Here is a 12,499-nt window from a genome sequence, read left to right as displayed (position 1 = left end):
ACACTTTCTAAACTGATTGAGACTTGTTTCAGATACTTTTTGGTAGACAATGTCATTCAGTCCTGATCAAAGTAGTTCAGTTTAGATAAATTTATGTACAGGGAGATAGTCCAGTTCAGTTAAGAGCATAGGTATTAGAACTCAGCTAGACCTGGGTTCAAATCTTTTGCTCTGTAATTTATTAGCTGTGTAACTTCAGGCAAGTTACTTAGCTTCTCTGAGCCTCACCTTCTTCTTGTACAATATGGGAATAACAGTGGTAGCTACCTTATTGGGCTGAAGATTAAATGAGCTAATGCATATACATGCTTTATGCTGTACTGGTAACTAGTTACATTTAGTTGCTTAAACATTAGGTAACATTAAGTTATCAAAATGGTTTTACAATGTATCATGTGATACCTATTTACATATGATGTAAAGCAAAGCATACCCCCATTTATTATAATAATAGCCAATAGTCTATTTTGAGCTGATGAAGATAGGGGTGGCCTTTTACCTTATGTTCTGTATCAGGGCCACATGTCATAAATGCCCCATCTCTGGGTGGCAGCACTCAGACCTGTTTGCTTTGGCTTTATGGCCCTCTCCTTGGTTGCGTTTCAGAAAAAACTCGCCATGGCATGAGTCTGCCTCTGTGTCATAGAGATAGGAAGGGAGAAGAGACTGGATTCAGCTCATTTTCCTGTGTATCACCGGAGCAGCCAAGCACAAAGCCTCACCACGCCTGTGGCAAACCCTGTTCCAGGCACCTGGGAGGTGGGCCAGTCTGATGGCAAGGTGTCTAAATGCCACTTCTCTTTGCTAACGTTCCTCCTCATCTTGGCCCAGATCCCTGGCCTCACTGGCTATTTTATTCTTAGGGTAGAGTCCCCCCAGCCCCACCCCTACAGACCTACAGGACACAGTGACTAGGCAGAGACCCCGGAATCTGAATTTTTATGAAGCCTGCCCCCGGCCCCAGGTGATCCTAAAGGGCACCCTGGCCTGGGAACCACCATTGAGGACCTACAGCCATTGCCTCTCTCCTGAGGGAGGAAAGGGGGCAGAGGTCTTACCTGTGTCTTATCAGTGCCCTCCCTTAACTGTCCTCCTGGAGACACCCCTGCAGGTGTCCTTCCCAGGGAGAAGTTCAACAGAAAAGCCCTGAGGCTGTGGGAGGGCACCCATTCCTCTAACTCAGGCCTTTCCCAGGAAGGACAGAAATAGTGGGAAGAGCAGGCCAGATTGTGTGGACTGGGGGCTTTCTCTCCTTCTCCAAGGATTCCTAAGTCAATTCAGCCTTCCAGAGTGGCATGAGCTCTGGCAGAGCCTGATGGAGACTTGGGAACCGGGGTGACAGCCTGGCCCTGAAATGCCTTCATTGTGAGGCTCCCAAAGAGAAAAGTTTTTCCAGTCTCCCACGTGCTAACGCCTCTTCTTCAAATCCGTTTCTCATCCAGAAGACCAGTGTGTTTGTTCAACATAGCAAAGTGTTTTCTGAGCACCTGCTCTGTGCCAGGCACTGAGCAAAGACAGGGATGCTGAGATGAATCACACATCTCTGAGCACTTCTGGTCTCCTGAAAGGCATTTCAGAGTGAGTTCTGAGGATCCACAGTAGCAAAACAAGCTGGGGTTTGTTAAAAGTGTAAACATCCGAGCCCTCAAAACCCAGGTCTGCAGAATTTCAGAGAGCGGGGTCCACCTGCAATTTCGGAGGGCCTCTTATAGAGTCTCATTCACTCTAAAGTTTGTGAACCAGTGGAAATTAGCTATCTAAAAAGGCCAGGCGTGGTGGCTCATGCCTGTAATCCCAGCACTTTGGAAGGCCAAGGCAGGTGGATCATCTGAGGTCAGGAGTTCGAGACCAGCCTGGCCAACATGGCGAAACCCCGTCTCTACTAAAAATACCAAAATTAGCCAGGCATGGTGGCAGGCACCTGTATTCCCAGCTACTCGGGAGGCTGAGCCAGGAGAATTGCTTGAACCAGGGAGGCAGAGGTTGCGGTAAACCGAGATCACACCACTGCACTCTAGCCTGGACAACAGAATGAGACTCTGTCTCAAAAACAAACAAACAAAAATGTAGTGACCTCAATTTTATGTTTATTGTATGAAATATATACAAATAAAAAGAAGGAAATTAAAACCACTCATTCTGATCCTACTTTCCTAAGATAATCATTGTTGGCATTTGATGAAATATCCCTCTAGGGGTATGTGTGTGTGTGTGTGTGTGTGTGTATTTAGACATATATTGTAGCATCTACATGGTAGCTGATACTGTGCTAGCCCCTAGGGACAGATGAGATGAGTAAAAGAGTGGTCCTGCCATATGGAACACCTGCAGTCATGTTACATGATGCCTGGCACAGACAGCTTGAAATCCAGCCTTGCTCACCTGCTCTTACCTTTTTCCCACAGGTATACATAATCAATGTGACCTGGTCTGACTCCACCTCCCAGACTATCTACCGGAGGTACAGCAAGTTCTTTGACCTGCAGGTGAGTTTGTCAGAGCTCGGACAGTGGCCCAAGTCTCTCTGGTGGGCTGGCCTCTCTCATACCCTCGCTTATCCAGGGAGCCCCCAAGAGAGCTGTCAGGGTCAGAGTCCAGGTGGGAGCAGAGGGACAGAGGAGGGAAGCTGGAAGGTGGAGCTGGGCTCGTCTCAATCTTGCATACTGCAGGCAGACACTCAGGACTTTGTTGGCCTCCTCTGATGGTCTTAACAGTAACGCTTTGTCACCCTCCCTTGCCTGCAGGGTAGGAAACTGTGGTGAAGAGGCGGGAGGATGGTGGGAGGTGCTGTGTGCCTGACCAGACGTGTGTCTATAAACATCCAGGGTGAGACAGAAGCCACTGCATCATTGCAGGCAAAGAAAAGCAAACACTCAGGGAAGACCGAAACAGAAAATAAGCAATTTTTTCAACTACAGGCACAAACTAGGCATACATACCACGGTGTCTGTCTGACCGAATGAGGCACTTGCCACCCAGTTTGTACATGTACGTGGTAGGTGTGTGTCTCTAAGACACAAAGGCATGTTCACAAGGGAATGGTAGTATGGGTCCCACAGCTACCCCTGCAGACACCCCCCTTGATGCCAGCTAAGTTAGTCAGGCCTCTTTGGGTTGCAAGTGATAGTTTTACAATTGCACTGGCTTAGACACAAAGGAGATGTGATTGGAAGGAGGGACCAGGGAAGCTTGTGCAGCCGACCACATGGTGAGAAGGGCAGTGAGGCAGAGGCTTCAGGAATGCCTGAAACCAGGATCTGCTCTCCCTCTGTCTTGTCTCTGCTTCCCTCTGGCACTGCCCTCAGCTTCTGTTACCTCACACCCTGAGGAATATGGCTGTCAGCAGCTCTAGAATTTTATATCTTTTGGCTCCCAACAGAGGGGAAATTGACTCCCAGTTCCAAGTTGAAAAATCCCAGGGACGATTTTGATTGGTCTGGCTTGGGTCAGATGCCCTCTCTGGACCAATCAGTATGGCTGGGAGTTGAGGGTCTTTTAGCACAGACATGGCCACTAGGGAGCCCACCTCTGCGGATCACAGGCAAGTACTAGAGAAGGGAGAATCAGTGTGAGTTGAGCAGCAGCCCTTTCAGGTAGAGCCAAGATGTTCTAGATTCCTCTCGGGGTTGTGAGCCTGGTTTAGGCCAATAAAAACACAAAGAGACACTCACTTCTACCCTCACAGCCAGGGTCCACTCCTTTCTTGGCAGGCCTTTGGTTGTCAGTCATCTTGGAGAGGTCATCTTGGGTACCGTGTGCTTGCCCCCAATACCTAATTCTATCTCATTGTCCTCATTGCCCTACCTATGAGACAAGCCAAGGGTGACCTAGCTTCCTGTATTACAAATCCTTTCTTAATCCAACAATGTGGGATTGAATATCCCATTGAATATGGGATTGAAAGCCACTCCCTACTCTCCAGCCTTCTTCCTCTTCCCTCCTCAATTCATGTCCAGTCTCCTTAATTCCAGTGTAATCTGGTGGGGTTTGCTGATACCCCATCAATGGGTGCAGTGTGCTGGACAGGAAGTGATAACTCAGTTGGGGAGAGGGAACCCTGAAAGGACTCATTGATGAGCTGGAGGGGGCCTGAAAGCCAGTGGAAACTTCCAAATCAGAACTTTTCTTCCCCCTCTTCCCTTATGGTCCCCCACCCACTCCTGCATTGCAGAATCTCAGGAGAAAGGAATGCTGCTCCCCCACCACCACCTCCCTTGCCTGGAGGGCTCATTCCCTGTGTGTGGAAAGGGGATACGCAAGCAGGGAGCAGCTAGTGCAGTGTGCTGGCCCTAGCTTGGCAATGGCCATGAGCTTGGCCAGGCTTGTCCACGTGGGTCATTGCTGACCTGTAGATGCAGTTTGGGAAGGGGTTGGAATCGTTCTTTGGAAATTAACTTATGAGCCAAGCATAGCATCTTTACGAACCCATTTTACCTGCCATGATGAGTTTTAGTGGCGTTCATTTTGAAAAGCCTTGCTTATTTATCAGGTCGCTGATTTTGGTATGGCGGATCCTATAGAGGAAGAACAAAGGGAGTTGCTAACTCCATCTCTGGTCATTGGTGCACCTCAGAACTCATGTCCCTGAGAGATTGTGTAAGAGAGCAGCTTAGAGTTTAGGCACTGGGGGCACATTCCCTGGGACCGGTTACTGGCTGTCACCACGTAACTCCGGACAGGCTCCTTCACTTCTCTAGGCTTGCTTTTCTCATCTGTAGTGTGAAGGTTCAAATTGCCTGCCCGGTAGGGTTGTTAGGAGGAATGAATGAGTGAATCCACGTTTCTCCCAACACTTAGTTGCCTAGTGAGTTGCCTGGTGTTAGCAGGTTGCAGGGATGTTGGGCTGCATGGCTGGGGGGCGTCTAGGGGCTGGAGACCCACTCACTGATGTTGCTTTGTGGCTTCCCTCACTTGGCGTCACTCTGTGGTGAGCTCCCTGTGCCCAGTCCCTGCCGGCGTATTCAGAGCCAGGTAGGCCTCAGGCTCCTCTCTGAAGCTGTCCTCTGGGGCAGGGTGGGAGCCCGCTGGGAGCTGGGGTGTGGCCCAGGGGCAGCTCTCAGAAATGTTTTGCTCCTTTCCTTTTTGGCTGACTCTGAGAGTCCCAGGCTCACCAGGCCCACCTCCAAGGAGCTGCTCCCCGGGTTTCACCAACTCGTGGTTCTAAGCCTCCTGGGGGCCACAGACCCCTCTGTGAATCTGATGGAAGCCCTCTCCCCAGGAAAAGAGTGGATACATACAATTTTACTTGCAGTGGCAAGTGTTCACAGACCCCCTGTGGACCCCCAGTGAAGAACTAGCGAGGTGCGATGGTGTGCCTGTAGTTCCAGCTATTCAGGAGGCTGAGGTGGGACGATCACTTGAGCCTAGCAGGTCGTGGCTGCAGTGAGCTATGATTGCACCACTGCACTCCAGCCTGGGTGACAGAGTGAGACCCTGTCTCAAAAAAACAAAAAGAACTGCTGAGCTAAACCAGTTTAGGTCGTGAAGCATACATTCACACCCGGTACTACTTGGGCAGCACTTGGGGGTCTATTCAGATAACAACAGGAGGCCTGGACACCCCTTTGACCCCTTTGATAGACCCTTGGTTCCCCCCTGTACAAGTTGGTTCCCTGCACCCCAGCGTGGGTCTCCCCGTACTTCCCCTCCCTTATGTCTCCCTCTTCAGATGTTTTCCTTTGTTCCCGAAGGCCAGGCACCCACGAGGCGGCCTCGGGTTCCCACCTGTGTCACACAGCCCGGGAACCACGTGCAAAGCGATCCCAAGCGGTCGCTGACCCTCTCTGGTCATGAGTTGAGGGCCATACAGATCCAGTTTCATTCGGAACAGCACATGGACCCTCTGTTTCTCCCTCTGGGAGCACACAGGGAGATGGACACTTGCACCCTGCCCTTCACACTCTGCAGCCATGAGGCCAGGAAGCACTTGAAGGGTGCTCTGTCATCTGAACAGAAACCCCACACTCTTTGGTTTTTCCATTTCTCTCCACAGTAGCTTCCACATCAGCACAGCCCTTCCCCACCCCCTCACCCCCACACTCCCCACCCCCTCCCAGATTCTAAGATCTGAAGCAGAACATTTCTCTGGTTATTATCTTCAAAGCTCCTGCCTGGACCTAACTGCCCTGCATGTGAAGCCCTGCATGTAGATCCTTGGAAATGAACAGTCTCAGGCACACACCAGCCCTGAGAACAGCAAGCAGGAGGGAGCCAAGAGCCTGAGGCTTGTCCTTGGAGAAGGTTCCTTGTCCCTTTGGGGTGACTCATGGCATTAAGGACAGGGTACTTAGAACTCTGATGGTGCATTGAGGAGCTGTTCACCGGAAATGGGGAAAGTCAGAGGGTTGGGAGAGATGGAGAGAACCTCCCCCCGCCACCGATCACCTGGTAACTGCTCATTCCACGCTTTCTGAAGCCTTAGGACCGTGCAGAGCAGAGCCATTTATCTCAGCGTCCCCTTCCCATCCCACCACCCACCTTCTTCTCTCACAGCTTACCTGCTACCTGTGAGGTCTTGGATTAGGGTTGCCAGATAAATATGAGATGTCCAATTAAATTTACATTTCAGATAAACAGCAAATGCTTTTTTAAGAATAAGTGTGGGCACTGGGCGTGGTGGTTCATGCCTGTAATCCCAGCACCTTGAGAGGCCAAGATGGGAGGATTGCTGGAGTTCAGTAGTTCAAGACCAGCCTGGGCAATGCGGCAAGATCCCGTCTCTACAAAAAATAAAAAAAATTAGCCGAGTGTGGTGGCATGTGCCTGTAGTTCCAGCTACTCAGGAGGCTGAGGCGGGATAATTGCTTGAGGCCGGGGAGGTCCAGGCTGCAGTGAGCTGTGATTGCGCCACTGCACTCCAGCCTGGGCAACAGAGTAACACCCTATCTCAAAAAAAAAAAAAAAAAAAAGATGTTCCAAACATTTCATGGCATATACTTACACTAAAAAACGTTATTTGTCGTTTATCTGAAATTCAAATTTAATTATGCATCCTGTATTTTCACTTGTTAAATCTGGGAGCCCCAGCCTGGCTGAGTGTGAGAGGCGAGGGTGGAAGTAGAAAGATGAGAGTCCAGGCTGGCTCCGGGTAAGAGTGGATGGGCCTGTGCTGAGGCCCCCCAGGCAGCAGCTTTTGTACAGAGCAGAAGTGGCGCAGGCTGAGGAACACACTTTTGAGAAGGACAAGGTCTCTTCCTGCCAGGAGTCTACATCTCGTGAGGAAGGCAAACTTGGAAACAGTTAAGTCCACTGTAGATGAACTAAATACTAGATTGAGGTACAAGCAACATGCTATGAGATGAAGAGGAAGGAAAGAGCATTCTTGGGAGAGGGAACAAAGAAGATGCCCATATGGTCTCTCTCTCTCTCTTTTTTTTTTTTTTTACTTTTATTTATTTAGTTTTTAGAGACAGGGTCTCGCTGTGTCGCCCAGGCTGGAGTGCAGTGGTGTGATCATGGCTCACTGAAGCCTCAGCCTCCCAGGTTCAAGAGATCTTCCAGCCTGAGCCTCCCAAGTAGCTGGGATCACAGATGCATGCCACTATGACTAGCTAATTTTTTTTTTTATTTTTTGTAGAGACAGGGTCCCACTGTGTTGCCCAGGCTGGTCTCAAACTCCTGGGCTCAAGTATCCTTCCGCCTCGGTCTTCCAAAGTGTTGGGATTACAGGCATCAGCCACCACACCCGGCCCCCATATGGTCTTAATTAGTGACAGCAGCCTAGGGTGACATAGCCAAACACCCACACTCTAGTTTGGGGGGATTTGGTTGTTTTTTGAGAATTCTTATCAGGGTAAAATATGTCTCTGGTTTCCTTCCTTCCTTCCTTCCTTCCTGCCTTCCTTCCTTCCTTCCTTCCTTCCTTTTCCTCCCTCCCTCTCTCCCTCTCTCCCTCCCTTCCTTCTTTCCTTCTTCCCATCCTTCCAATATTAAGTGTCTGCCTTGTACATCCAGGCGGTGTGCCAGCTCTGGGACACATTGATGATCCAAAGCAGATCTGGTTCCTGCCTTTATGGGTCTCACAGCTTAGTGAGGGAAGACAGATTTTAGTTAAAAAACAAAGACAAACAATATTGTTTTACACCATTCCAGATGTAACAAAGGAAGGTGCCATAGACATATTATAGGGAAACCTTATACTCTGGGATCAGGGCAGGCTTCCTGAAGAAGTAAGTTTTATCTGACACATCAGTGAGTTATTTTATCTTATTTTACTTTTGAGATGAGAGACTCTTTTATGCTTCTAATGAAAGCCAAAGACTCTCTCCCCAGACAAGTGCATGAATGTGCACCTGTAATTCTAGTAACCTTTTTGGTTATCCATACCCTGCCTGAAATCCATCCATGAGCACCAGGATAACACCCTCTGCTCTTCTCCAGACCTTCTTCTCTCCCCATATCTCCTGCCACGAGCCTTCAGACCCAGACTCACACGCAGGGGCTGCCCACTTAGAACCCCCAGGTACGGAGGCTTTAAAGCTGTACTGTCCAACGCGGTGGCCACTAGCCACATGTGGCTATTTAAATTAAAGTTAATTAAAAATTTTTGAAATTAAATTTTAAAAATTAAATGAAATAAAAGTAAATGTTCAGTTCCTTGGTTGCACTTGCTAGATCACAAGTACTCAGTGGCGGCCGTGGCTAGTGGTTGTGTATTGGGCAGATATGGAACATTTCTATTATCACAGAAAATTCTATTAGACTGGTAGCTTAGACAACTTTGAACACACAACAGGCTTGAGCTGGCTTTCTGGCCACCCTACAGTGATCTGTCACCTCCCAGCCCCTTCCTGAGTTGCCCCCTGAAATCTTCTAGGGCCCTGGCAAGAAGAGGGAGATTATTCTCCTGCACAGTTTGCCCATCCTTAGGGCTTTTCAGCTCAGCGGCTATTCCAAACACTTCTTCTGGAAACCAGGTCAGGTTCCCGAGAGGGCTTCTAAGAGCCTTTCAGATGTGAAGTTAAGAACAGGGAAGAGGTGAGGCTCTTAGTCTCCAAGTGGAAATTGGTTTCTTCTAAAAATAACTCACCACTCAGCCCTATCTGACCAGGAAAAGGACCTGTCCCAGGGAAAGCTGACCAGGACAGGGCCTAACGTCGAGGCCCATTTGGTGATTAAGGGCCTGGGTTGCTTGGAGGTGCAGTTGAGGTGGGAGGAGGGGCGGCAGATGCCCTTTTCAGTTGCTTTCTCACGGGTGGCTGGACCACGTTTCCAGCCTTTGTCTATTTCCTTGCACAGCTCCTTCCTGGTCCCACTGAGGAGGGGCCGGAAGACTCTCTGAAGCCCTGGCTCCATGGACGGTTGTTTCACAACCTGACCTACAAAGCGCTGGGCTACAGTAATTGCTCTGCAAACACCGACTCCACCATGCTGCTATTGCTTTAGTCTGAACTCTGGCCAGCGAGTGCACAGGGTCAATATTTGATCAGAACTGGGAGAGGCCCTTTATTTTCCCCTGCACCGCTTGGAAGATAGAGTTAAGAGGGTTGTTCAGGTTTGCTCATTGGCTCTGAAGGACTTAACCTATTTTGACAAGCTTTTCTCTCTATTCCTTATTCATCTCTCCAGACTCTCCACCCATGCACCCCACCCTGGGGTCACACTCACTTTCCAGCTCCCCAACAGCCCACCTCATGATGGGTGGAAAAATTATAATTCCTGAATCACTAACAACCAGCCTTGGAATGAATGTGTATATGGGTGTGGGTGTGTACTGATGTCACTTACGGAGCTTTATGGGATCATTGCATTTTTAGAGTTAGAGGAGTTCTTATTCCAAGTGCCTCACTTTGCAGGTAACAAACTGTGTTAATTTTTCTATTCATTAAATTTATATAAGCTTTCATTTGGTTTAATATCCAAAGCAGGCCTCAGCTGAGATCAACCTGGGGTGATCCCAGTGTGTGCCAAGAACCAACCTGAAAGCAGAAAAGAGGAGGAAATGTCTCTTCCGCAGGCACTCTGCCTTTTAATCATTGAGGGAATTTGTTCGAGATTACTGACCCTAGACTAAAGCGATGAGGCCACAGCCTGGGGAGGTAACCTGCTAAGTTCTAAGAATGATCTTGTACCAAGGATTGCAGAGAGCTCCAGCACACCTGGTGTGGCAGTGCCAGCTCCAGAATGTGCTGAGCATGGGTCATTGTGAATGCTCACATGCCTTAGACAGAGGAGAACATCAGCCTTGACTGAGGTCATTCACTGGTCCCAGGCAGGCACAGACAGCCTCATGTTGTTTGCAATGGCAAAAATGGGAAACAGCCTAAAAGACCATCCATACAGAGTTGCTAAGTCAACTGTGATATTCTCACAGCACTTAGTACAGCAGTCAAAGCAAATGAGACTGATCCATGGGTGGATCTCCAAGAAACATTCTGAACAAACAATGCAAGTTTCAAAACAGTACTTATAGTATGATAATAATTATATAAAAAAAAACCCAAGAACAAGATTTATATTTTGCAGGTACATATCCAGCATATGAATGTAAATGTTTTTTAATCTAGAAGGCTGTACTCCAGATTGGTATCCGACTCATCTCTAGATGGGGGTTAGGGATATCAGTAGGAGGAAGGGCTTGATAAAGGGGGAACCTTATCTTAATGTTTTACTCTTTTAGAAAAGGAGAATGCATTCATATATTATTTGCAACATTAATATTGAATAGTTAAAGAGTCACCTATTGGGGGAGCTAGGGTTGGTGGGAAGTCAAAAATAAAATATGTCTTTCCTGGTCATTATGGTATAATGGGACAGAAAGCACAGGTGAAAAAAGTAAACATAAGAACATGTCTAACAAGGAGGACATGAAACTCATTATAAAAATCACATTACCTCATATTTCCTGGACCATCATTCTAGATCATTCCTGTGGAATGTAAACTGGTTAGATCCCATTACAACCAACCCCAGGGACCTGTCCAAATTATCTTGTCCAACTGGAATCTTGTATTCAGATATTACTCAAAATCTGCAAACTACATATTGAGGCAGGAAGCAGTTGGGTGGGGGTTCTTGTGTCATGACGAAACTGTACTCAGAGTTGTGTGTTGCTGGGGCACAGTGGCTAAGGGCATGTGCTCCAGGGCCAGGGCACTTGGGTTTCAAGACCAGCCCCAGCGCTTACTGTCTAAGCTTTGATGAGTGATTTAACCTCTCTGTGCTTGATTTCTCATCTGTATAATGGGTGTATAGTAATAACTGCCTCACTGGGTAACAGGAAAAATAAAATGACACAGTCCATATAAAGAAAGCCCTTAGGATAGGACTGGCACAGAGACGCCAGACAGGTAAGCTGAAATGTCACCAATTAGGCCCTCAGAAGCTTAAAACTCCAAAAAGCCAGAGAGCCCCACTCCATCTAGAGACAGAAGTTTCTTCCTGTGCCCCGTTAATGTAGACATCACTTTCACCAAATAGCTCGGCCTGCCTCCAGGGAAGAGAGGCAGAAGGCAGTGTTAAAGGTTTTCTAGATAAATGATTTTCACCTTCAAAGTTTAACTACAAACCTATTTCCCTTCCAACAATGCTGTTAGGAAAACATTGTTTTTTAAAAAGTAATTATTAGTTGACAGCTTTTCCTTGCTCCTGGAAAGAGGCATCTTTGATTCCTGAAGGAACACATAGGGGTTCCAGGGGAGCCTTGTGGGGCTTCCATCGGCTCTTGGGGATTCCCTGGCTGGCTCCGCTCCACCTGGGAGCTGGCTGGGCTCCAGCGCCCCTTTCAACTTGTGCCTGTGGCCTGAGTATGAACTCCAGCTTCCTCCTGCCTCTCCTGAGTTCCCCTTTGGCAGATCCTGTTAGCAGGTGAGGGAGTTGTGGAATATTGGGAGAGGAAGACCAGGGTGAACTGGCACCTCTGGGCAGGCTCAGGATGGGAAAGCCAGTTACCATTGAGTTTGAATCCTGGGGTTACCTGGGTCCGGCTGGAGGGTGTTGGGAAAAGTTTGGGTTGATCTTTTTTCCCCTTTAAGCAGATGGAGTTTGCAACTTCTCGTGCAGTTTCCCAACCTTGTGGGTTTAGGAAGACCCCTGTGCTTGTGGGGGCCTCTCAGGTCCAGAGCAACTCGGGACCTGGTTCCAAGCAGATGGAGAGAGGTACGGAAGGAAGGTGGTGGCAGCGGGGATAGAGCATCTAGGAGAGGTCTCTGCACATCTATGCATAAAGGGAAATAAGACCCAGAGGGCTGAGCTCAGGCCCTGAGAATCACCGCCTCGGGGCCTGCCCTCAGGAGAACTCTCCACCCAGCCAGAGCCTGTGGACATCAAGAGAGCTGGGGAACTTGTGTGACACTGAAGCCGCTGGGAGTTGTCAGATATGCACCGTGCTGTGGGTCTGTGTGGGAAATCACACCTTTCCTATACAGTTGAGGACTCGCTCTGTGAGCCTCATTTTGGATGGTTGTGTGCATTTGATCCAGGCCCAGGGTATTCACGGTGTTCACAGGGTGTTTGGCCAAATCCTATTCCTAATGGACTCAAGGCCCTGTCAGATCAGACC

At 48.6% G+C, this 12,499-nt stretch overlaps 1 protein-coding gene across 2 annotated transcripts in view, besides 2 other annotated features; it reads left to right on the top strand.

Annotated features, from left to right (window-relative positions):
* Positions 1-12,499, top strand: part of SH3PXD2A (SH3 and PX domains 2A) — a 261,550-nt gene that overhangs the window by 51,809 nt on the left and 197,242 nt on the right. For both annotated transcript variants that reach the window (NM_014631.3, NM_001394015.1), the window contains exon 2: positions 2,406-2,486. In NM_014631.3, coding sequence (NP_055446.2) covers positions 2,406-2,486 — 81 coding nt within the window. The remainder of the gene's footprint in view (positions 1-2,405; positions 2,487-12,499) is intronic.
* Positions 2,687-2,766: a silencer, noted in NCBI's record as "silent region_2790". NCBI's record gives its function as "represses an Ori minimal core promoter by ATAC-STARR-seq in GM12878 lymphoblastoid cells {active_cell/tissue: GM12878}" and the evidence as "EXISTENCE:reporter gene assay evidence [ECO:0000049][PMID:35858748]".
* Positions 2,996-3,497: an enhancer, noted in NCBI's record as "H3K27ac hESC enhancer chr10:105560029-105560530 (GRCh37/hg19 assembly coordinates)". NCBI's record gives its function as "activates a minimal SCP1, AML or CMV promoter by ChIP-STARR-seq in naive H9 embryonic stem cells {active_cell/tissue: H9 hESC(naive)}" and the evidence as "EXISTENCE:reporter gene assay evidence [ECO:0000049][PMID:30033119]".

Source organism: Homo sapiens, chromosome 10 (genome assembly GCF_000001405.40).
Source record: "Homo sapiens chromosome 10, GRCh38.p14 Primary Assembly".
Taxonomy (NCBI): Eukaryota; Metazoa; Chordata; class Mammalia; order Primates; family Hominidae; genus Homo; species Homo sapiens.
Note: the sequence above shows the minus strand (reverse complement) of the source record. Positions and strands in the feature narration are given on the sequence as shown.